Source organism: Homo sapiens, chromosome 12, assembly GCF_000001405.40.
Source record: "Homo sapiens chromosome 12, GRCh38.p14 Primary Assembly".
Taxonomy (NCBI): domain Eukaryota; kingdom Metazoa; phylum Chordata; class Mammalia; order Primates; family Hominidae; genus Homo; species Homo sapiens.
The window spans coordinates 4,831,507-4,857,096 of NC_000012.12; the positions used below are offsets into that span (position 1 = coordinate 4,831,507).

Here is a 25,590-nt window from a genome sequence, read left to right on the forward strand (position 1 = left end):
CTATGGGAGAGATGGAAAACCTCCCAGCCATGGGAGCTGGAAGGGGTCGGATCCATCCTCCAGCTCCGCTTTCTCCTTTTGTAAATGCCAAAAAGAATTGGGGTCCTGAGTGATGACTTGATTGGCCCAAGGCCACGTGGCTACTATGACTACTTTATAACAGAGCTGGATTTTGGAGTCCAGTGTGTTAATTCACTTACTCCCTTGGCTAAGACACGGAGCTTCTGAAAATAATCTCTTATGAGAGCTTCCATTCAGCTCAGACTTTGAAGAAATGATAGTTCTTGCATACTATATACAGAGAGAGCACAGGTCTCAGTATCAGACTGATCTGGGCTCAAACCCTGGCTCTCCGAGTCACTAGTATTGAGATCTTGGGCACATTTCTCATACACCTTGTGTTCCTCCAGTATAAAATGGGGATCACTCTGGTCTCACAGAAACATGGTGAGGGTGTTCTATTGAGTAGAAGATACGCTTAGCAAATACTCATTGCTAAATAAAACAAGGCTTCCTGGTCAAAATGAGTAATAGCTCTCTCCTTCCTAGTGCTCTGATTCTGAAGATGGTGTAGTTGTGGAATTATTTAGTGCCCTCATGTTTGTGGTTGGGACCAGAGAACAGGGGCCTTTCTTTTGCTTTTCTTCAGACCCCGAGAGCCTGGGTGTCATCAGTCAGCCCACGACCATCCCTTGTGGGCTTGGGAAAACTCAGACAGAGAGGGAAATGTGAGACTCTGGCAATGTGAAAAAAACAAGTACCTCTCTATTACTTATTTTCTAGTCTTGTGAAGTTTGTTCAACCTACAACCCAGCATTGATTCAAGGCCTCCTCTGTGACCCCACCCCAGCGGCAGTGCGCCCACTGGGTAAGATAAAGTGAGAGGTGCAGGGACGCACAGGTAGAAGGAGATCCTTCAGGCCTGGTCACATCTGAGGTTATGGGGCGGTGGCCTGATACTCCTGAGACAATACGCTTTTTGATACTCTTTTGAGGGTGGCTGCAGAGGACATTGGCTTGTACCTCTGGCCCCTCTGTTCATTCTTCACCTCATAGAATGAACATTTGCAGGCCTGCATTGAGACACTGTTTTGTCCTTGTTATGTGCTTCATGCCCTAAATCACCACATCAGAATTCAATTCCTAGTCACTCACCTGTCTCCAGAACAAATCCCTATGGAATATCCATCTTTCTAGACCCAGAGAGGGTCCTGCCTCTCTCAACCCTCCCTCTCTCCTCATGACTCGAAATCCTAAATCTCCTTCAAAGACCACCTAGCTCATATCCAGCTCTTCATGAAGTCTTTATGTGGACTGGACCACTCCTTTTGCACTCAGCAGAGGTTACCTTGTGTTGCTGTACATTTTTAGACTGTAAGAGTCCTTTCTAGAGATACATGTGCCACCAAACCCTCACCTCAGGGGGGTCAACAACCTAGTTGAAAATACGTCTTAAGTGTAGTTGGGCTGCCATTTTCTTGAAGGCAGGGCCCTGTCTCATCGTTTTTATTCCTCAGAGCACAATATCAGGGAACTATAGGCTGCATGTAACAGTGGCATTAAAAAAAGAGAATATTTTTTATCTCATATGAAATGGAGTCTTGAGGAAGGACAGCTTCAGGATTCGTAATGCATCAGTTAGCTATTGTGACATAGCTAACCAATTAAAAACCGAAAAGTTTGAAACACCACCATTACTTTATAGCTCCCAATTCAAGCAGGTCAGCAATTTTGGCTGGGCTCAGCTGGGCAGCTCTTCTGGTCTCACCTGTGCTTCCTCATGCATCTGTGATCCCTCATGCATCTGTGGTCATCTCTAGGTTGATCAGGTGGTGCTGCTGGGGGTTGTGTGGCTGTTGGCCAGGGAGCCTCAGTATCCTGCCCATGTTGCTCCCATGTCTCTAGCAGGGCAGCCTGGAGTATCCCTCTTGAGACGAGATTTGGAGTTGGTGCAGTCACTTCTGCTGCAGTGCTGTTGACTAAGACTCAGTAATGAGGAAATAGACTCTGCCTCTTCGTGGGAGGAGCTTCAAGGTCACATTGCCAAGGGCAGGTGGAGCATTGGAAGCATTTTTTGTAGTGGGTCTGCCATAGCCAATGATGTTAGGGCTTGAAGAAGTCTGTTCTTAGGACTTGCTTGGCTTTTTGCCTCATGCTCACAGATGGCAGCAGCAGTTCCAAGCATCATGTCCTCACACAACAGTGTGTGAAGGCAGGAAGGGTTGAGCCTAAGGATGAGGAAAACTTCCCCAGCTGTCTCCTATGAGCCTTTCCTTAGGCTGTGGTTAGGGCGGGGCTGTCCTAACCAGAATAGACCAACGGCTAGGATTACCATGATTAACTTAGAGTCATCCCTAGGCTGGGAGGGACTTGTCTTCTTCTTCTTCTCCTTCTCCTTCTTCGTCTCCTTCTTTTTTAAATTAAATTTTTTTTTTTTTTTTAGACAGGGTCTTCCTCTGTCACCCAGGCTGGAGTGCAGTGGCGTGATCATGACTCTCTGTAGCCTTGATGTCTCAGGCCCAAGGGCTCCTCTCACCTCGGCCTCCTGAATAGCTGGGACTACAGGCACACCCACCATGTCTGGCTATAAATTTTTATTTTTATTTTTTGTAGAGACAGGGTCTTGCTATGTTTCCCAGGTTGGTCTGAAACTCCTGGGCTCAAGCAGTCCTCCCACTTTGGCCTCCCAAAGTGCTGGGATTACAGGTGTGAGCCACCATGCCCAGCCAGCCTGTCTTCTTTGAAGTGTTGGCTTCCAGAAACCTGAACAAAATTGGGGTTCTGAGAGCACAAAGGCAGTAGTGAGGGGTGACAGCTGGGTTGGGAACCGGTAGGGTGCAGAAGAAGAAACTTACGTCGTGTCTTGTACCCACTTATTTTTTTAAATAGACATTGATATTAAGCCTATAATGTGTGAGGCACTAGAGAATTAAAGGTGAGCAAAACTTTAATCTTCTAAGAAGGTCATGTCTAGATGGCAGATACGAGTAAACAGCTGACTGAAGTACAATGGTGGTAAATGGTAGAAGCGGGGGCTTGGGGATTTAGGGCAGACTTTCAGGGCTTATGTGAGGGCTCAGATCCTGCCCTGCTGTTCATGCCTTATCACCAGTGGGTTCTGACAGTAAAGACCAATGCAGGCAGCAAGGTACCACTTTATTAGTATCTAAAGCAGGACCCAGCTACCTGCAATTCAGGGCTCTCCAGTAAAAGACTGAGTTGAAACCCGCAACTGGGACTACAGGCCAAAGTGGGGTCTCCTACTCTCATCGACCTTGGAGCCAAAATCTGTGACAAGCTCTTTTACAGCTGACTTTCAGGAGGGTGAGAGAACAAGACCCAAAAGTGGTTCTAAGCCCTCTTACCCAGCTGATTTCATGGAGTGAGAATCATACGGACAGAAAGGAAAGGTGCCCGGTCTGACCCAAGGGACCAGGGACTGAAAAGCAAGCTGGTTTTGAGGACTGACCTAAGGCACAACAACTCTGTTAACTAGTAAAATGTAGCCTAACCAATGTATTGGGTTCAACTGTTGGGACTGGGAATTTAGCATTCTTGGAGTCTATATAGGAGGGAAGCTAATAAATGCAAACTGAGTACTCCCATTTTTCTAAGAAACAGAGAATGATTTTTTTTTTTTTTTTTTGAGACAGAGTCTTGCTCTGTCGCCCAGGCTGGAGTGCAGTGGCGCGATCTCTGCTCACTGCAAGCTCTGCCTCCCGGGTTCACACCATTCTCCTGCCTCAGCCTCCCGAGTAGCTGGGACTACAGGCACCCGCCACTGCGCCTGGCTAATTTTTTGTATTTTTAGTAGAGACGGGGTTTCACCGTGTTAGCCAGGATGGTCTCGATCTCCTGACCTTGTGATCCGCCCGCCTCAGCCTCCCAAAGTGCTGGGATTACGGGCTTGAGCCACCACACCTGGCCAAGAATGATTTTTTTTAAATTATTTTTTTCTTTCCTTTTTTTTCCTCCATTTCTCCCTGTTCCCACTTCCTACTTAGCCCTTTATAAATGTAATTCTAACCTTTACCTTCCCTTCAGCAGACACTCCCTATAGGGCTATTTCATCTAACTATGCGCTTAGAAGTTCCAGAGTGGAACTCTCCCACCAGGAGACTTCCTCATGGGACAACAGTCAACCTCCAACCCAAAGTTGCTTGTTAGGAAACTCTCTCCCACCTGGAGAGTCTTGGCTACCTTGAACAACCTAGTCCTGCCCACAAAGACATCAACTCAGCTGTCTGATAGATAAGGCACCGAAGCCAATATGTGTACCCCGACCTGCTGGTTTCCTCTCCTGCATGTCATTCATGCTAGGCCCCCTTCAAAAAGAACCTTCTTTCTGTTCCAAAAGCAAAGTGGTGCCCTTAAGGCAGGAAGCCTGTACTTCTTCCCCTAAGGTAGCTATGGAATAAAAAGTCGCTGTTTTTTTTTTTTTTTTTTTTTTTTGACGGAGTTTCGCTCTTGTTGCCCAGGCTGGAATGCAATGGCACAACCTTGGCTCACTGCAACCTCCACCTCCTGGGTTCAAGTGATTCTCCTGCCTAAGCCTCCTGAGTAGCTGGGATTACAGGTGCCTGCCATCATGCCTGGCTATTTTTTTTTTTTTTTTGTATTTTTAGTAGAGACGGGCTTTCACCATGTTGGCCAGGTTGGTCTTGAACTCTGACCTCGGGTGATCCACCTGCCTTGGCCTCCCAAAGTGCTAGGATTGCAGGCGCAAGCCACCACGCCTGGCCAAAAGTCACTGTCTTTATACCAGACCTCACTCTTGTTGATTGGACTCTTCCTGCAGTGAATAGATCAGGTGGACTCTGCAGTAAGTGATACTGTGAAGGCAGGTAACAGGTGGTCTGGGTAAGTGAGGAAGAACAACAAATTCTTCTTTGGCACTGGAGGGGGTCAGGGAGGGTTTCCCAGGGGAATTAACACTTCAGCAGGGCCTTGGAAGATGACTTGGAATTTTCATTGTTGAAAATAAAATTCTTAATAAAAGAAATGGCTTGAACAAAGGTATGGGGGTCAAGAATAGGATGCTGTGTTCAAGGAGCTAGGAGCTTGGGATATATGGAGTGAGAGAAAGGGTGCAGGAAAGGCTAGAAAAATAAGTTGGACTCAAGATTGCGAAGAGTCATGAAGCTGCTTAGAAGTGGGATTCATTCTGAAGGCCATGGGAGCAAGCAGGAGTTTTAGATCAAAGTGACATGCTCAGGTCACATTTAGGAATGATGCCTCCGGCTGAAGCAAGATGGGAGTGCGACAGACTAGCATTGAGGGCACCCAGTGGGAGCAGTGTCTGATATAGCCAGTTGCAGGGAGACATGCCCGGGTGGCTCGCCTAGGAGAAATATTTTATCATTGACATTGCTTATAATTGCTAGTGATATTGCGGAATATATATTTGGTCTTCATCCTGTTTCCTGGCATAGGGATCTCCAGAGTGATTTCTTTTTGTATGTCAATGAGTTTAATGATGGCTGGCAGCCCCTGGATAGCTTCAGGACAGTGGCTGGTCACTGAAAAGACCAAGGCAGGATTATAGGGCTGGAACTTTCAATCCTGCCCCCCACAAGGGGTGAGGGGCTGAAGGTCAAGGCAATCATCAATGGCCAGTGGTTAAATCAATCATGCCTATGTAATGAAGCCTCCATAAAAACTCCAAAAAGGACTGGTTTCAAAGAGCTTCTGGATAGCTGAACACATTGAGGTTCCTAGAAGGTGGCACACCCCAATAGGGCATAGAAGCTCCGTGTCTCTTCTCCATACCTTGCCCTGTACATCTCTTCATCACTATCCTTTGTAATAAACCCATAAATGTAAGTAAGTTTCCTGAGTTCTGTGAGCCACTCTAGCAAATTAAGCAAACCCACGGAGGGGGTCATGGCAACTCCAGTGTATAAAACCAGTCCCTCAGAAGCACAGGCAAAACAACCTGGGGCTTGTGACTGGCACTGGAAGTTGGGGGCAGTCTTGTGGGGCTGAGCCCTCAACCTGTGGGATCTGATGCTGTCTCCAGGTAGACAGCATCAGAATGGAATTGGAGGACACTGGCTGGTATCTGCTGCAATTGCTTGCATGTTGGTGGGGAGGAATCCCCAAAGATTTTATCACAGAAATCTGTGCTGATTGTTGTGGTGTGAGAGCAGAGGAAGAAGTTTGTGTTTTTTGTCTACTCACAGACGCATATGGAAATAAAAAGCAATCAATTTTTGGCCAGTATTATTGTTTTAATGTCCTCTGTGGACAATGCAACCCTTTATTGCCTGTGTGGGTACAGACTGCTCTCCACACACTCCTCGTTGCTCTACCTGTGGGAGGCTTTTATGGTAACCCAAGCAGAAGAGGCTACAGTCACTTACTGAGCATCTGCTGGGAGTGCATGGATAGACTGCCTGAGTGTGGGCTCTGCAGCTCAGAGGTGGTTTGAAGAGAGCCTTTGTATTTGGGTGCTGCTGCGCTAGACTGCAGAGACCGCTCTCCAAGTGTTCCACTCTGAGAGAGTAGAAAATAAGCACACCCACTAAGAGGGCATAAGGTGGGGAGGGATGGGGTGGTTATCATCATCTGACTGCCTTCGGCTGCAGGGTCTCATAAGTTCCACCTCCTGTGGCCATGGCCAGAGTGGCACCCCCTTGACCCTCTCCCAGAGCTTAAGAACCCCTTCCTCAGACGTTTGGAGGGGATGGTAAGGAACACTGTCTCTTTTGTTCTTGGGATGTCCTCCATAAAAATTTCAGAGCTGCCTGGGAATCAAGTTGAGTGGAGATGTTTGACGAATAGGTTTATTCAGAAACAAACCTAAAGCTTTGCCTGCAGCCTCGTGGCTCCTGGCTTGTCTAGGAGCCCTGCTCCCTGCCTTTGATACTGGGAGGTGGTAGCATGGCACCTTACACACACTGGGGGCTACCAAGGAGTTTACAGCGTGATACTGTTTGCAGAGCAGTGACTGAAGACAGCTGCTTTTCTTGACCTCTTATTGCTTTTCAAGTGTAGCCTACATGAAATGGGATATGATGGTCCAGTTTACTCAGTCGCCTCTGAAAAATGAGAAACTCTGTTATGTCTATTTGCTGTTTACCTGCTGCCTGATTTTGAACAGAACACATAACCTATCTGCCATAACTAAATACCATACACTTGGAGGCTTCAATAACAGAGACTTATTTTTTAACTGCTGTGGTGGCTAGAAATCCGTCATCAAGGTGTCAGCAAATTGGTTTCTGGTGAGGGCTCTCTTCCTGGCTTGCAGATGGCTTCCTTCTCACTGAGGATGCACATGGCCTTTCCTCTGTGCACAGAGTGAGAAAGAGCTCCAGTGTCTCTCCCCTTTTTATGAGGTCACCAATCCCATGGGACTAGGGCCCCACCCTTATGACCTCATGTAACCTTAACTACTTCCTTAGAGGTCCATCTTCAAATACAGGCATCCTGAGGTGTAGGGCTTCAGCATGTGAGTTTTGAGGAAACACAAACATTGGTCCATAATACATATCCTTAAAGATATTCTCCTGCTCTGACTGCTTTCATAGGCTCTCAGGAGTTCAGGCATAATATGCACAAAAAAGCAGGCAAACTCTGCTTATGCATAGAATAATAAAGTTTGTGCATTGAACTCAAAAGCTTAAGGAAGACTTGGTTTAAAGATTTATAATCTTAATAAATTGAATGTAGTTGACCTGTAAACAACATGGGTTTAAACTGCATGAGTCACTTATGCATGGATTTTCTTCTGCTTCTGCCACCCCGGGAACAGCAAGACCAACCCTTCCTCTTCCTCCTCTCCTCAGCCTACTCGGTGTGAAGACAATGAGGATGAAGACCTTTACGATGATACACTTCCACTTAATAACCAGTAACTATATTTTCTCTTCCTTATTATTTTCCTAACATTTTCTTTTCTCTAGCTTACTTTATTGTAAGAATATACTACATAATACATATAACATACAAAATATGTGTTAAATGACTTTTTATGTCATCAGCAAGGCTTCTAGTCGACAGTAGGTTATTAGTAGTTAAGTTTTGGGGGAGTCAAAAGTTTTATGCAAATTTTCAACCGCTCAGGGGTCGGCACCCCTAATCCCAAGTTGTTCAAAGTCAACCATATTTATTTATCAAAGCAATGTATTTTCTAAATAACTATTCAGGAAACAAAAGCCACCTTGTGGAAACATAAAAAGTGCCCATTGACATGTATGTATACATGCATAGAAAAAAGACTGGAAGTATGTTAATAATAATAGTCATAGCTAGCAGTTACAGAACACTGTGCCTTATATTAACATTGTCTTAAATCCTCCCATTATGGAGTAGCTTCAATTATAATTCCCATTTATCAGAGGAGGCCACCAAGCAATTGGCTTAAGACCAAGTTTGTGTGACTCCAAAGGCAAAGTGCTTTTTTTTCTGGGTAGAAGGGACATTCACAATTTTTTGTTTCTTTTTTATAGTTTTCTGAAGTCAGTGAATTATTTTTAATGACTGTGTACTTTTTCTTTTGGAAGAGAAAAAACTTCCATCATGAAAAGTTATAATGGATGGCTATGGTAAGAGGCAAACAGAGAAAAGAAATGATAAACTCTATATGAAAGGGTTTATGTCACTCCTGAGTATTCCAGTTGGAGAAAGAAGCAGTTGATTTGGGCATAAAATGGTATTTTGTTTGCATTTCATTGATGATGATTATTATCTATCTATCTATCTATCTATCTATCTATCTATCTATCTATCTATCTCCTCTTAAAGATAAAGTGACGCTTGAGAGTGTCTGGACTATTTTCCTGTAAGTAACAACCCCAACAAAAAGTGGGCAAAAGACCTGAACAGACACTTTTCCAAAGAAGGCATGCACGTGGTCAATAAGCACATGAAAAAAGCTCAATATCACTCATCATTAGAGAAATGCAAATCAAACCCACAATGAGATACCATCTCACACCAGCCAGAATGGCTATTACTAAAAAGCATAAACTGTAGCCCTAACTTGTTGCATGCCACTTCTTTACCTCCTGGGAATGAATGCACAGGGCTCTGTTGACAAATCTGCGGGAAGTAGAAAATTTTACCAAGCTCAAGGTTTTAAGGAATGACACGTTCCACATCAATCACAGACATGGCAGAATGCTTGGGAAACATCTGTTGAGCCTAACTCCAATGAGACTGAGATGGTCAGTGGTACACACTGGGTCAGCAAGAAGGATGGTTCAGATTCTGGTCCCAGAATTCCCTGCTGATGTGGCATAGCCCAAGCTCTGGGGAGTGGAGCCCATTTAGGGATGTGTCCCCCAATAGCAAGCTATTGCCAGAGACTGATTGGAGGCAGAGGATAGGGTGTTTTTAAAGTGCACACAAGGAAGATTCTCAATTGTATTATATTGTGAACACAAAAATTTAGGACTCCCCGTGTTGATTGCAGCTTGTGTCTGAGGGGAGCTTATTTAAGGAAGACAACCTGATAGTCTTACTCCTTAGAAGGAACTTTAAAGAATATTTGGTTGATCATATAGTCCTGATAAGCAGGAAGAAAAAGAAAGGATGAATTTAAACTCATTTTACTCAGCAAAGGGTGACATTAATACTGGATTATCAGTCAGTACCTAATTGCACAAGGAGTATAAACAAGTGGTGCTCAACATTGGATGTTCAAATTTAGAATCCCCTAATGCCCTCATCTTATGCTGAATTTAGAATCGTGTGCGTTAGCTGACAGATGAGCATTCTCATGGTGGCCCCATCAGCCAGCCAGTATCACCATCTTTTCTGTGTAATAATGCTGTATGTATAATAATTTGGCAATTTATTAAGATTATAAAATAAATAATAAAGATTTAATAAGATTGATTTAATCTTATTTTTGGCAGTTTTTTTGTCCTTATTTTATAAAAGTGAGAAGAAAATAGAGACATCTACAGCACAAAGCATAGTTGTTAAAACTTAATAGACTTGAGGCAAGATGAAAATCATTAGATTTACCTAAAGTGCTCTATCAGATGTTCAGTGGAATTCAGTCAATTGAATATGTATTGAAGTGCAGAGGAAGGTAACGTATTTAAAGATCATGTGTGAAGTGTTGGAAATATACCATCGATGATTATGTCTAAAAGGCAAACTGTGAAGGAGGGTTTTGTACCATGTTAGCTTGCCGGCATAGAAACTCATACAACACATGATCTTTTGCACACTTTCTGTCAGTCAATTTCCATTTCCAGAAATTTAAATTTTATATCTAAAAATGGGGACTGGTAATATAGAGAGGAGAGAGGGAAGCAGGGCATTCAAAGAAAAAACATGCGATCTCCAAGTTGTAGAATTTTATGGTAGAGATGAGACAGGTGAATAAAATGTTATTTAAACCAAAGCAATACATACTGGTTATTGCCATAGTAAAGAATAGTGTTTCATACCAATTTTTCAGCATATATGTATTGAGGTCCTCCTGTCTTCTAGGCACTGGGGATATAGAGATAAATGAAACAAAAGATTTCTTCCTTTTATGGAGCTTACGTGTGTGTGTGTGTGTGTGTGTGTGTGTGTGTGTGTGTGTGTGTGTGTGTCTGCTGATGAGGAGGAGGAGTGGAAGGAGATGTTAATCCATTAAGCCCAAATGTAAAATTGCCACTGCGCATATGTTACTAGGAACTGATACCCACAAAACTGCTATGAAAGTCCAAATTAGGGACATTTAACTCAATGACATTTTAGCTGATATTTGAATAACTAACAGGAGTTAAATAGTCAAAGGAGGTAGAAACCACATTCCAGGGAGAGGGGACAATATATCCAAAGACCCCATGATGACAGAAACATGGTAAGTATGAGCACGGTGAGCCTGGAGCTAGGTCCACAGGTGAGGAGTTTTATCTTCAGCCTTGGAGCCACAGGATGAATGCCTTAGGTGAGTTTCAAGTGGTGGGGTGGTGAAATGGTTTAGTAGTTCTCACACTGCTATAAAGAGCTATCTGAGACTTGGTAATTTATGAAGAAAAGAGGTTTAATTGACTCACTGTTCCACAGGCTATACAGGAAACATGACTGGAGAGGCTTCAGGAAACTTACAGTCATGGTGAAAGGGTGAATGAGAAGCAACCATGTCTTCACGTGGCGGCAGGACAGAGAGAGAGCAAAAGGGGAAGTGCTACACACTTTCAAACAATCAGATCTCATGAGAACTCACTATCATGAGAACAGCAAGGGGGAAATCCACCCCCATGATCCAATCACTTCCCACCAGGTTCCGCCCCCAACATTGGGGATTACAATTCAACATGAGATTTGAGTGGGGACATAGCCTAACTATATCAAATGGGGTAATATGATCGGATTTGTGAGTGAAAGTATCAGTCTGGCCACAGTGTAATGGATTGGAGGGACTGGATGGATGCAGGTGGACCAATTATAAAACTTGTGTCCGTGGCCAGGTGAAAGGTGGGACTAGGGCAATGGTGATGGAGATGGAAAGAGGTGAATGGGGTTGAGAGCTTTGGGAAGGTGAAAGCTTTGGTACTTGGGAATCAATTGGAGGTGGTGGGATAGACAGAAAGGGAGGAAGAGGATGACTTCTAGGCATTAATAATACAAAATAGTAGATAATTCAATAGTCACTTCATTTTGTCATTGGAATGAAATATGATTTGGGTGGAGGGCAAAACAGTGATCATGTTTTTAAAAATTCTTTACTTTTTTTTTTTTTGAGACGGAGTCTCACTCTGTCGCCCAGGCTGGAGTGCAGTGGCGCGATCTCGGCTCACTGCAAGCTCCGCCTCCCGGGTTCACACCATTCTCCTGCCTCAGCCTCCCGTGTAGCTGGGACTACAGGCACCCGCCACCACGCCCGGCTAATTTTTTGTATTTTTAGTAGAGACAGGGTTTCACCGTGTTAGCCAGGATGGTCTCAATCTCCTGACCTTGTGATCTGCCTGCCTCGGCCTCCCAAAGTGCTGGGACTACAGGCGTGAGCCACTGCGCCTGGCCAAAAATTCTTTACTTTTTATTAAAGTAATATATGCACACAGTTTGAAAAGCGAAACAATAGTTACGTTAGGCCATTCTCACGTTGCTATAAGGAAATACCTGAGAGTGGATAATTTATAAGAAAAGAGGTTTAATTGGCTCACGGTTCTGTGGGTTGTACAGGAAGCATGGAGGCATCTGCTTCTGGGGAGGCTTCAGGGAGCTTTTACTCACGGTAGAAGTCAAAGTGGGAGCAGGCAGTTCACGTGGCGAAACCAGAAGCAAGAGAGCGAGGTGGGCAGTGCCACATACTTTAAAACAACCAGATATCATGAGAACTCACTCGCTATCTCAAGGACAGCACCAAGGACATGGTGCCAAACCATTCATGAGAACTCCACCCCCATTACCCAGTCACCTCCCACCAGGACCTACCTCTAATATTGGAGATTACATTTGACATAAAGTTTGGGTGGAGACAGATCCAAAACCATATCAATAGTATAAGGCTTCCAAGGAAAACCAGCTTGCCCATGTCTCTCTCTTCCTTACCATGAAGCCAATCCACAGGGGGACCACTTTCAATTATTTTAAGTTCGTTTTCTGGGATTGACCTTTATTTTTTCCCAGTAAATGCAGACGTTGCTATTTCTTGATTTACTTTTTCATTTTCTAAAGCACCTACTATGTGCCAGTCACTCTGTTCTAACCATGGATGCATCGGCAAACAAATTATGGATACATGTAGCAAACAGAATTCCCTGTCCTCGTGGTGCTTTCCTTCCAGTAGGGAGAATAAGCAAATGTTTAAATAAAATATTACTATAACCATCTCATTATAATGAGGTGGTGCCCTTTATAGAGATGATTATAAATAATATGGAGAAAAGTGAACAACAGCAGAGGTGATGTAGGGAATGTCAGGGAAGAAGTACAGTGTTAAATGACGTAGTGGGAGAAGGCGGTGACCTTACTGAGAAGATGGCATCTGAGCACAGAGCCTGAAGGATGGGAGGACTGGACCTTGTGGATATTAGGGGAAGGACATGCTAAGCAACGGGAACAGCATGTGCAAAGGCCCTGAGGTGGGAGGACATGGGGTAACTGAGGAACAGAACAGCAAAGGGGCCTTTACTGCTGGAGGAAAGTGAATGAGGAGGAGAGTAATTTGGGTGGGGTAAGCCAGGGTGACACAGATTGCATAGGGCCTTTGGGCTACCATAAGGACTGTGACTCTGCATGATGGGCATTACCTCTTGCCTTTGTACATGTATGTTGTCTACCACTTTCTTTGCCTCCCCCATAATTTTTTGGTTAAATCAGTGTTCAGTGTATCTGTCATTATCACTATCAAAGACTATTTTCTGCATTGTCAAGCAGTATATTATAATGTTCATTTAATCTCTTGTAAACATTTTGTTAATAATTGCCTCATTTTCTTCACCTGCTTAATTTTCAGTGTTCCTGTTTATAATTCTTTCCAGATTTTCCAACAGAGTTGGAAAAAACCCTCTAAACATGGTTTTCTATGGGATCAGATGCATCAGGCTCTGGACCATTCAGTTCCTTTCCTCCTGGAGCCTTCCATTGCGGAAGCTTCCCTCCCCCACTGTCTTGCCTGCTTTCTCTCTGCCCTGTACAGCTGGTGTCCTGGGAATCTTTTTCCTTCCCTTCTACATTGGGTCTTCGTTTTCCTGGGCTATATGTTGCTTCTTTCTTGGTTTATTTCTTCTCTGGATGGGACAAACCCTTCAGTAGGGTAAGAAAGGGTAAATGGAAAGTACAGTTTTGAGCTTTCATGCCTAAAAATGCCTTTATGCAGTTCTCAAACTTTATTAATTACTGGATGGATGTTAAATTCCAGAATGGGTATCATGGTTTCTTAGAATTTTGAAAGCATTGCTTTGCTGTTTCCTAACTTCCACCCTTGCTGCAAGAAGTCAACGCTTTTCTGATTGCTTTGTACGTGAACTTCTGTCCCTCTGCAGGTTGTTAAGCTTTTCTCTTTCTGGATGCTCCGCAGTCACGTTACGTGCATTGTTGTGGAGGTGTTGGACATTAGGCACACGGTTCCTAGAAAAAACAGAGGATGCCTGTTACATGTGAATTTTAGATAAACTAGGAGTAATTTGTGCAATGTTTGGGACATACTTGTACTAAAAGATTTAAATGTAAAATTTAAATGTACCTGGTGTCCTTTTTTGTTTGTTTTTGCTAAATCTGGCAACCTCAGAACTCAGCCTCTTCAGTCCAGAGACTCAGTTTGGGGCCATTTTCATGTGTCGTTTCTTTTCTTTTAAATTAAAATATTAGTCTAAGGGTAAAAAGGTAAAACATTTCAATAAGGCTTATAACAACAGTAACAATCCCCTGCCCTAGCCTTCCTCATCCCTATCTTGCATCCTTCAGAAACAATTTCTTGGAACTCTTTAGCTGTTTCTTCTACATTTGTCACTGGATTTCTCAGTACAGGTTGCGGATCCTTTATCTCACATACCTGGACCAGACATGTTTCGAATTTTAGAGTTTTTTTTTTTTTTTTGGAATATTTGCATATACATAATGAGTTATCTTGGGGTTGGTACCCAAGTCTAAACCAAAATTCATTTATGTTTCATATACACTTTGTACACATAGCCTGAAGGTAATTTTTAAATAACTCTGTGCATGAAACAAAGTTTGTGTACATCGAACCCCCAGAAAGCAAAGGTGTCACTATTTCATGTTGGCACTCAACAAGTTTCAGACTTTGGAGCATTTTGGATTTTGGATTTTGGGATTAGGGATGCTAGACCTGTAACATACTAACATTGCTTTTTAATTTTTATTTTTTAAGTCTTAGGAAAATTGACTTCCAACTATGGAAGATAAGGATTTAGCTTTCTTACACTGCCCACCGTTACTCTCCACAATATAGACACATACCCATCTCAACCAACTGTAATATAAATGACATATTTATTAGTTCAGTGTTCATCCTACTTTATTATGATGGTGTCAATAGTATTCCTCCTCGAGCGACATAATGTCCAGTGTTGTATTTGTGTTTCCTTTCTTGTACTACTTTTTGCTTTCTTCTGGAGTTACTGAACATCTTCTTTTTCCTTGTTGAGTTTTCTATATACCTATCACTGATACCCAAATGGAGAGTGGAGTTCAGTAAACTTCCCACCAGAAATGTCAATCTCCTCCTACATGCAAATGCACCAGGCTCTCTCTCACCTTCATCTTGACTTCTGGGGCCACTCTGTCCCACTGCTCCAGTATGGTCTAGGCCTGTTGCTTCACCACTGTCCTGGAACACCTCTTTTTTTTTTTTTTTTTTTTTTTTTTAATTTGAGACGGAGTCTCGCTCTGTTGCCCAGGCTGGAGTGCCATGGTGCTATCTCAGCTCACTGCAAGCTCTGCCTCCTGGGTTCACGCCATTCTCCTCCCTCAGCCTCCCAAGTAGCTTAGACTACAGGCGCCCGCCACCACGCCCAGCTAATTTTTTTTTTTTTAATTTTTAGTAGAGACGGGGTTTCATCGTGTTAGCCAGGATGGTCTCGATCTCCTAACCTCGTGATCCACCTGCCTTGGCCTCTTAAAGTGCTGGGATTACAGACGTGAGCCACCACGCCCAGCCGGAACACCTCTTTATTATTGTCCAAAGATTTCCCTCTGCCTCTCTGCTGCAAGTAGTTGCTTTGATGAGGATAGCATTTGAGTTTGAAAACCACCCCCATTGTCTTCTAGTTTCTAATGATGCTTTTGGTAAAATCTGATATCTTAATTTCTAAATTTCATGATGCTATACCTTGATGTAGGTCTATCTTTATCCATTTTCTTGAGTGTTCATTGGGCACTCTGGGTCTGGAAATGCATGTTTTCAATTCTTGAACGTTTAAAAAACTATTTCTTTAATAATATTCTTTCATTCTTTTTGCCTGTTCTCTTTTTCTATAACTCTGGATCCCCTGGGCTGGTTCTCAAATTTCCTTATTTTTTCTCTATTCTTTTCCATTTTACTTTCTGGGAGAGTTCCTCAACCCTAGTTTCTAGCTCTTCTGTTGAAGTTTTGATTTTGGCTGTCATATTTTTAATTTCCAAAGAATTATTTCCTTCTTCTTGGGTGGTTCCTTTTTTTAATAGCAGCCTGTTCTTCTTTCATGGATAAAATAGTCCATCTTATTTATCTGAGGCTTTTTAATATGTCTGAAGTTTTTTTCTTGCTTCTGGAATTTTCTGTTTTCTCTGAGTTTCTGTCTTTGGTTTTGACCTTTCAGAGGCTTTCCTGAGATGTTTGTAATTTGATGATCTCTGTTCATTTTCATGAGTGAAATACTAAGAAGCTTACTGGAATCTCTGTGTCTTTGGAGCTTGTGGAGTGGTGAGCTTACTGCAGAGTGATGAAGCTGGGATCAGGCTGTCTCACTGGGGGCCTCCAGTGTCTACAGGCCTTTTTTTCTTGGAATCCTTTGGTTTTTCCAGGAAAATATTCTCCAACTGCCTGTTTGATATTACCCTGGGAGCAGAGCAGGGGAAGTGGCCAACTGTCTCACCATTCAGCATGTGGACTTTCCCCTCACACTTAACTCCTTGCTTTCAGTACAGTTCCTCCAGAGCCTTATATGGTGCCAGCTTTCCTTGAGTCTAGGCCTTTCTGGTCTAGTTTCTCCAGAATAAATTTTACATCTTTTGACAAGGTGGTGGGATGAGTAGGTGCTTGGCTTTGTGAGGTTGCAAAGGAGACCTGAAAAGGTGTGTCCACCTGCAACCAGTTTTTAGCTCTGCCCCTCAACCCTGCTTCTGTCAACTGACACCCTCAACTCCTGAGCCTTTATAGGTTCCTGGGGGTAAATCAGGTTGTATCTCACTGACATCAGCAGGGACTCAGGCTTTAAATCTTGCCCCCTCCCAAGTAAAATGCTATTTCTCCAGGGGCTTTCCATCATCTGCAAATTGGCTTTTAATATTTTCATCCACTATTCTGATTTATTTGTCTATGTAATTTACCTCCTCTCTCCTCCGTAAAATTTTCCTACACTGTTATTTTTGTAGGGTTTCAGGAGGGAGCAAAAAAAAAAAAATCCAACTTTAAAAAAATGTTTTTTGAGATGGAGTTTTGCTCTTGTTGCCCAGGCTGGAGTGCAATGGCTCGATCTCGGCTCACCGCAACCTCCGACTTCCAGGTTCAAACGATTCTCCTGCTTCGGCCTGCCGAGTAGCTGGGATTACAGGCATGCACCACCACGCCCGGCTAATTTTGTATTTTTAGTAGAGACGGGGTTTCTCCATGTTGGTCGAGTTGATCCCAACTTTTTAATCAGCCATTTTAAACTCTAGATCAGATGGACTTCCCCAGTAATGTTTTCTTTGGGCTTATATAAAAATTACGGTGCATTCAGTGGCTCACGCCTGTAATCCCAGCACTTTGGGAGGCGGAGGCAGGCGGATCACGAGGTCAGGAGATCGAGATTGAGACCATCCTGGCCAACACGGTGAAACCCCGTCTCTGCTAAAAATACAAAAATTAGCCGGGTGTGGTAGCGGGCGCCTGTAATCCCGGCTACTCGGGAGGCTGAGGCAGGAGAATCATTTGAACCCCGGGAGTCGGAGGTTGCAGTGAGCCAAGATCGCCATTGCACCCAGCCTGGCGACAGAACGAGACCCCATCTCAAAAAATAAAAATAAAATAAAAATTAATAAAATAAAATAAAAAATTACGGTGCATTCCCTAAGAACATGCTGTAGGTGGCGCCATAGAGCAGTCCAGGGAGAAAGCTTATGATGTTTAATTTACATTCATAGCAGGAGAATTGAGTCTAATGACCCGTAGCGTTTGGAACTTGTGTTCAGGCACCTGACACAACTCCACATTTATGAACGCAAAAGTGCCTGTACAGTCTTTTCCTGAATCACATGTGTGTGGGAAGAGCAATGAGCTTTCTGTTCATTTCCCTTTGAAACAACCAAAGAAAACTTTGACCATTTGCTAAGGTGTTACCTTTCACCTGATGGCCACTGGAATTTCACACAGAGATTTTTGCTCTTTTTTTTTTTTTTTTTTTTTTTTTTTACCACTTTGCAAGAGCTATTGCACCCTGACGAAGCCAGCAGGAAGCCTCTGGGCAATGTCCTTGTGAGTCTGACGCCAGACAGTCAGTGACTGTCACCAGGCAAACTGCTGTCCTGAGCACCAGGCTTTACAGTTAAATTTGTGCTTGAGTAAGATTACAAGTTACTCCATGTTATGGACCTTTGGGCTTGCTCCCAAATGATTTAAATTACAAATATGAAGTCTTTTCCTTCTGCAGAAATCTATTGCATGGGCACAATCATGATACCAACTGGAGTTTATGGAAACCTTATTTACCTTTTCCAAAGCAGTTTCACAAACACCTTGTTGTCGTTGCTTCCGTTTCACGTGCAGAAACAGAAATGACAATGATTGCTGGTTTGTTTGGCTACGCTGGCTTGCCCTTGGAGTGCTTTGTGGTAGTCACAGAGACACACGCATTGTGTCAGGTATGACAAGTGAGGAGTTTAACTTTGCCCAGGCCACGGCAGAGGCGGATGTTAAACACAGGACTTCGGGCAGCACATCTCACAGGCTTTGCAATAGAGTGTGGGCCAGATGGTAAAGGCAGCAGAGAGATCAGTCACGCAGGGGACAGCCAAAGGGGCTCTTGGAGGTGGGGGTTCAGCCGGGCCTAGAGGGACTGGACTCAGCATTGTGGGAAGGAGACTCGAGAACATTCCGGCATGGTAGGGGCGGGGTAAGGAGGAGCCAGGTGGTGGCAGGAACTCTTTCAGGGAGAGAGGAACGCGCCTGACGCTGGTGCAGGCTGAGGGTCCGAGAGGGGGACCCCTCGACCATGTGGATGGTGGGAGGTGTCAGGGAGCAGTGAGAGCAGCTGGATAGATCAGATGAGACTGTGCCTTCTGGGGCCTGGAAGTCAGGCACATGGCTTGGACTTGACTCTAGAGGGACTCAGGGGCCATTAAAGGTGGAGTATTAATGACAGCAGTATTAAGGACAACACGGGCAGAAATGGCTTCAGGTTGTACAAGCTCATAGTCACTGATTAGTTGCTGGAGTTCAGTGGGTGGCAGTGGGAGGTACAGTTTGAACAGACCAGAGCACCTAAGGATGGGGACTCGGTAGGAGCTCACTAGGCAAATGCCAGCGGGGTGAGGAAGGACACTGGTGTGTCCAGGTTTCTCAGTTCCATCCCTCATGCGACACAACCTCATATCACTAACTACATGTCCTTTTGTTCTGGTTCCTCCCTGGCAGGAAAAATGCTGGCAGGTGGTGCAAGCAAGGACATCTATGCATAGAATTCTGACAGCAGCTGGACCCTCAACTTCTTCAGAAGACGAGAACCCTGCCTGGCACCGCTGGCAGGCATCTGGCCTGACACCGCTCTGGAGGCCTCCCACAAGCAGCAACCAAGCCAGAAAAAGTTGAGACCAGACCCGTTGTCCCTAAAGATGGGGCCCAGAATGTTGGGGTGAAGCTGTAGGAACAGGGTGAAAGCTGGTGGTGTGAGCAAAGAGACCAGCTATGGGGTGGTCAGGGGATTCCGGGAGGTGCATGGGTATGTTGCAGACCCCCCCAGGACAAGGGTGGCTGTGGAAGAATGGCAAATAAACACAAGGCAAAGTCTCAGAGGCTGTGCATTATGCCATGAGAAAACGTCGACGGCCAAGTTAGGCAGACAAGCCAAGCGGTCTCCACAAGAGTAGGCAGGGATCCAAAATTCAGAGCACCTGCAGCTTGCTGGGCATCCTCACTACACAGGAGGATGTGATGGCCACACATAGATCACCAGGAAGAGGGCTTGATCACCCTCTGCCATGAGCCGGCCCACAGATAGGGGACATTCTGCAAGAAAGTAAGATGCGTAACCCATGATCTAAGAGTTATCTGCCTCTGATAGACACACGAGTGGGCAAATATCAAGGGCAGAGTTATTTTTTTACATGGACTTCCCAGAGGCCAGATGATGCTGTGTGCGGGGTCTCCCAGGTAACAGTAAGGATGTTCTTTCTAGTCACCCGCATTGTTCTTGCAACTGACAGCTGTTCTCTCTTGGCCTGTCCTCAGTGGAAGGGGGTAATGCTACTTCTTAACAATCAAACAAGCCCTTGCACTCTTCTAGGATCTCTGGTGGGGGACATTCCCACTGCTAGTCACTCATTCACGTATCTTTTCCACTTCCTGACAAAATGAAGGACTAGGATGATTTTCTTGTGTGGAATTTTGTTTCCTAATGAGGTGTTGCTGAGGCTCCAGGTTGCTTTAATGCCCACACCCTCCCAGATTGTCCTGAGTGCTGGGGCTTCATGACGTTGCTGCAGAAGTCTGGACAGCAGGGACCGTAGCCTTCGCCATGTGTCTAGCAGAGCACCTGATACAGAATTGTCACTCATACAATGTGTGGTGAATGAATGAGTGAGGAAATAAATGAAGGAAGTGCTGGATCTGGTTAATACATACGGTTAAAACACATACAAATAATCAGGAGCCCACACATTATTTACTACAAGTGAAGGTGGCTGTCAAACATCCCTGAAAAACACGCACACACACAAACATATACACACCCCTTTTCTCTGCCAGGCTTCTCTAAATAAACCCAGTAACTCTACTAGATGAACTCTACCCAATTTCTGACTACATAAACCCAACAATTCTGACATCTCCTGTGAGGGTCTGTTTCCCAAACCATGTCTAGCATTGATTTGTTCATCACTCAGCAAGCGTTCATTGAGTGCCCACTATGTACTGAGCACTTTTCTAGGTGAATGAAATGAATAAAGCAACAAGAGCCCATGCCCCTATGAAGGCTGGGTTCTGGTTGGGGAGAAAGGCACACAATACAATAAATAATTAAAATATGTTGTATGCTAGGAGAGTATAGGCAACAGAGGAAAATCAAGCAAGGGGGCTAGAGAATACAGCAGGAGTATGTGTGTGTGTGAGTGATCGCGTGTGTGTGTGTGTGTGATTGCATGCGTGTGCGTGTGTGTGTGTGTGTGTGTGTGTGTGTCGCGGGGTGGACAGCAGCTTAAAGCAAGGGAGACAAGGAAAGTATGACTTACAAGGTAATGTTTGCATTAACAGCAGAATGAGGCCAAAGGGAGCCAGGTAGATGTGCAGTGCAGGGGAGGGTTAGAAATTAGAAACGTTCTCGGAGAAGGAGCAAGTGCAAAGGCCCTGAGGTGGGTGTGTGGCTGGCATGTTCCAGGAACAGCAAGGAGAGCATTGTGGCATGCGGGGGGCAGTGAGCCAGCAGGAGAGCAGGAGGTGGGGCCAGGGACAGTTGAGTGGTGGAGAGTGGGGCCCATCAGCCGGGGCCTTGCAGGTCTTTGCTTATACTCTGAGTTGGAGGAGAGGCCATTCCTCCAGGGTTTTGAGCAGAGATGGGATATGACCGGACGTAAATTGTAACAGAATTGCCAGTTAGGAGGCTGTTTGAATAATCCAGCAGGGAGCTGAGGATGGTTTGGACTAGGCTGTCGCAGTGGAGGTGGAGACGCGGACAGATCCTGATCATTTTGCAGAGCGTGCCAACAGGAGGAACTGGATGCGGAGTGGGCGTGAGAGAAAGCGGAGGCCAGGAGGACTCCAAGGTGGTGAACTTGAGTGGTGGGTGGAAGAAGGGAAAGGCAGTTGAGCCAGCAACTGGGCCCTGGAGGCTGGACCCCTCTTCCTGGCTGCTGCTTGGGGCTGGTTACCACCCCTCTGAGAAGCTCCCAGAGGCTGGCCTGCGGGGCCACCCTAGCCAGCGAAGCAGGCTCTGATGCCGGCCGACCCTCCTCCATGTTTCAGAGCAGGTCTAGCGGGGCCTGACCCCATGTCCCAGCCTCCACCTTTCTCTCGAGGAAGCCAGTGGGAGGAGACACTGTCATTGCACTCCCTGCCTGTCTTCCTGACCCCGTGTTGGGGTGGGAGGCATCTGAGTGTCTGTGATTCATTCTGAGTTTCTCACCCTTCCTGCCCTTCACACACCCACCCCCCAATTTTATTCACTACCTTCTTCACATTCCCACTTTCCACACTCACACTAGAGCAGGCCAGGTCTGCTTCTTGGCTGGCCATGTGACAGAGCACCCACAAGAAAGTAGCTAGAGAACCCTAAAGTACCCTCGGGCCAGGGAAATGCCACCAAGTCTATGGCGACAGAGCCGTAGAGACAGACTATCTGGAAGGTGCTCCTTCCACCTAGCCACTCCTAGGAAAGTTGGGGATATGACTGGCACTGACTCCAGCTGGCAAGTGACATCTGCTGGAAGCTACTCCAAAATGGGAAGCAGGACACCAAATACTCTGGGATAGAGGTGGTGGGGAAGGGAAAGCTGGGTATGTGGAGTGCCTCAGCAGAAGGACCTGAAACCATTCTGGAGAAAAGAAGAAAAACCAGTAGGAGGCTGAGAACACCTCCATCATAGCTCCTGAGGAGGGGCCAGGGTGGTCTCTTCCAGAGTGGACAGATAATGGGGGATGGCCCCCCACCATGATGCGAGCAGGAGGGCTGATGGCCCAGGCTGCCCTCCAGCTGGCCCTGCCCTCTGCGTCTGCTTGTCTTTGGAATGTGTCTCTCCAGGGGTGACTCTTGTCTTTATTTTCAGGGTGAGGTAACAGAGAAACAATTTGCCAGGACACTCTTGGGTGCTGTAGGCTGATATTTGAAAGATTCTGCTTCCAGAGCTCAGCTGGGCTGGCTGATGACCATGGAGCTTCCTGGGCTGTCGAAGGGCAGACCTCAGGGCTGTTAATTCACTCGAGTACATGGCGGCCACAGCATGGGAGAGTGGAAAAGCTTTGGGCTGAAGCATAGAGAGCTGGGGGGCAGCCGCAGCCCTGCCACTACCTCACTGTGGGATTCACATCAGCACTCCACATCTTCATTCCCTAGTTAGCTCACCTGGGAAATGGGGAAATGGACCAGATCATCTCCAGTGTCTCTTCCCACTTAGTAATTCTGAGATTAGTAACTGTCATGAGAATAACCAAGGGTGAACCGATTTCTAAGTCCATGCTGGAAAATGGAAGCCCTCTCCTCTTGGCTAGGGAGATGCATGTAAATTCCACACCTGTTAAGCATCCATGCTCTGTGGCAGGAAGTTATAATAACCAGGTGACTCTGGCTCTTATTACAGTGATTCTGGGTCCAGGCAAGAGTGGCAGGTTTTTGGGATGACCTGTGACATAGGGTTGCTGGGATGATTAAGTGAGTTGCTGTAAGCACAGTGCTTCCTGTGCCTGCCTGGCGGGAAGCATGCCTAAGTGTTAACCATCATCATTATTATCATCACTATTATGGGATGGGTCACACAGACTTTCCCTTTCTGCTAAGGAAGACTGGAATTCCTCAGCTTCAGTTTCATGGGGCTCCTAGGCCAAGCCAACAGCCCTGATTGAACCCTGGGCCTGCTTTGGCTTTGTGGGCTGCAGAGAAGGACCTATCTCTCTTAGCTCAATCTCAGAACACAAAGCCAACCTGGTGGCTGGGGCGAAGTGGGAGAGGTGAGGATAAGGTGAATCTGATGGTCATCGCGACAGCAAAGTGCGGTGATGTTCGTGAAAGTGCGTGTGGCTGCCGCGCTCCCTCCAAGTGTAGAAGGCCATGAACAGTTCTCCTGGCTGCCTCTTAGATGAACAATGAACCATGAACTCATTCAGTCATCTCTGTGGAGTCCTTGTGTGTCAGAACATTTTAGAGATGGGAGGTCAGTGGGTGGACCTGCATACCACACCCCCTAGCAAACGGAGGAAAGCAAGCTTCAGGGAAGGGAGGGTGGTTGGTTCACGGCGAGGCGGGGCTGAAAGAGGCTTCCAAGGTAGGGGAGCAGCACTCCAGGAGCTCTGGCTTCAAGCCCACCTGTGGCTGACAGTGAGGCTACAGTCAGAGATGAAGAGTGATTGATTGTCTTTATGGGATGAAGAGTGATTGTCTTTATGGCCAAGGCCTCCACGTGCTGGACATGATGAAACAAACAAACAAACACACACACAGCTTCCTCTAGAAGCTGTGTGTGTGACCTGAGGGCCACACACATGGCCCTCAGGTCATGAGGCATGAGAATCTTTGAGCCGCACACATCAGCCCTGTAGCTTCCAGCAGAGCCCTTCCTGCCTTCCTTGAAGATTCAGAGCCACATTCGCATTCTGACTACTCTCCACTAGAGGGAGACATCACCACTTGTATTTAATATTTCTCCCTAGACGCTCAGTGCTGCCCTGGGGTAAGCCATGCCTGTTGGAAGAGCTCACAGGGAAGGACCAACCCAGCCTGCGGTGTGAACCTACTCAGGGCTAGGAGTCAGCACTGCCTTCCTAAGGGGCTGCCGGATTCTCTTCCCCTTTGACAGAGGTGCGGCCAGCCGTCCAGATGTGGCTGGATGACCAGTTAAGGGGCAATCACCTGCCCTTCTGCCCCACTCCGCCGGAGGTATTGGGTGCAGAAGTAAAGGTGGCTGCTCGGGGATTCCAAGTAGATGTAGGGGAGCTGAGGCCTCAAAGGCTCCCGATCTCCTGGCCTGTGAAAGCAAGTGGACATCTTAGAGAGTCCTTGCTTATGGGTGCCTGCAACTTCCAGGAAGAGGTCGTAGAGGAAGCAGCAGGAAGTGTTCCTGGAAACTCCACGCAGAGGCTGGACGCCCTGGGAACTTTGGCTCAGTGTGCTCTGTGGAGGGATATTATCTGTAGGGACCAGGATATAACACAGCAAAGGGATCAGGTGTCCTTTGGAAAAATGATTTTCCAAGTCAAATTAAATACCACTTGCTTACAGATTTTCTTGAATCTCACCAGGCTAAGAATCAGGCTGAATTATTTTGAACGCCTACCTGATCACTGGACCCGGAGTGAGGAGGGGAGACATGGAAGGTGACCTTGTATGCAACCCTTTTTCCTCTGGTGTCAGTCTTCCACTCAGGGCCTTGGTTTCCCCCTCTGGCAAGCGGGAAGTTGATTTAGGTGATCTCCAGGTTTCCTCCTGCAATAGACAGTGGTACGTTCAGTTTTTCCTCCTGTGTTATGGGTCATTTGTCACCAACTTGCTACTTTCCGCAGTCTGAAGCATATTAAAAGCGGCCCCCATCTCCCACATAAGCAAGCATTTAAAAAAAAAATACTGGTTAAAATAAAATGAGATTGGCCTCTTAGAACCAGTCAACTCATCAAAGTGATGCTGAGCCCTTCTGAGCTCAACAATGTTGACAGTAATTTATGCATTTCACAGCACTAGGCTGGAAAAGTGCAAGCACAGGGCTAAGGCTTACATTTCCTGTGTCAACAGTCACTTGCCTGGTGTCTGGTTTCTTTTTTGGTCCTGCTTACCTTGTGCCAGCCGGTGCCAGCTCAGGGGGCTCTGTGAGGCCACCTCGCCTGCTGGTGACAGAGTCCTCACTGCTTTTAATTTCCAAGTACTGCTTCATCTCTTGGAGATGCTTCAGTGACTCCATTCCAAGGCGGGTTTAGATGACGAAGTGGATGACGATGGGGGGAGTAGGGGAATCTCCTTAGAGACAAACCTGGGAGAAGGCATTTCTCATTCCAGTCAATACATAAATGTTATTGATTGGAATCATATTGGGTACATATTGCTTGGAACAAGGAAGAAGTATCTTTCCACTTCCTTTTGT

General features: G+C 45.7%; 1 protein-coding gene across 6 annotated transcripts in view, besides 4 other annotated features; it reads left to right on the forward strand.

The window, feature by feature from the left end:
- KCNA6 (potassium voltage-gated channel subfamily A member 6) overlaps positions 1 to 19,606 on the forward strand; it is a 41,779-nt gene extending 22,173 nt beyond the window's left edge. For 4 of the 6 annotated variants that reach the window (NR_172524.1, NR_172525.1, XM_017019271.2 and 1 more), the window contains one exon: positions 19,232 to 19,606. The gene's annotated coding sequence lies outside the window, so the exon portion shown is untranslated. Of the gene's footprint in view, positions 1 to 7,790; positions 7,856 to 19,231 lie in introns of all 6 variants that reach the window. The other 2 variants (NR_172523.1, XM_017019270.2) reach the window with 1 other exon arrangement.
- Positions 11,137 to 11,256: an enhancer, noted in NCBI's record as "active region_5832". NCBI's record gives its function as "activates an Ori minimal core promoter by ATAC-STARR-seq in GM12878 lymphoblastoid cells {active_cell/tissue: GM12878}" and the evidence as "EXISTENCE:reporter gene assay evidence [ECO:0000049][PMID:35858748]".
- Positions 22,106 to 22,606: an enhancer, noted in NCBI's record as "H3K4me1 hESC enhancer chr12:4962778-4963278 (GRCh37/hg19 assembly coordinates)". NCBI's record gives its function as "activates a minimal SCP1, AML or CMV promoter by ChIP-STARR-seq in naive H9 embryonic stem cells {active_cell/tissue: H9 hESC(naive)}" and the evidence as "EXISTENCE:reporter gene assay evidence [ECO:0000049][PMID:30033119]".
- Positions 24,080 to 24,129: an enhancer, noted in NCBI's record as "active region_5833". NCBI's record gives its function as "activates an Ori minimal core promoter by ATAC-STARR-seq in GM12878 lymphoblastoid cells {active_cell/tissue: GM12878}" and the evidence as "EXISTENCE:reporter gene assay evidence [ECO:0000049][PMID:35858748]".
- Positions 24,140 to 24,189: an enhancer, noted in NCBI's record as "active region_5834". NCBI's record gives its function as "activates an Ori minimal core promoter by ATAC-STARR-seq in GM12878 lymphoblastoid cells {active_cell/tissue: GM12878}" and the evidence as "EXISTENCE:reporter gene assay evidence [ECO:0000049][PMID:35858748]".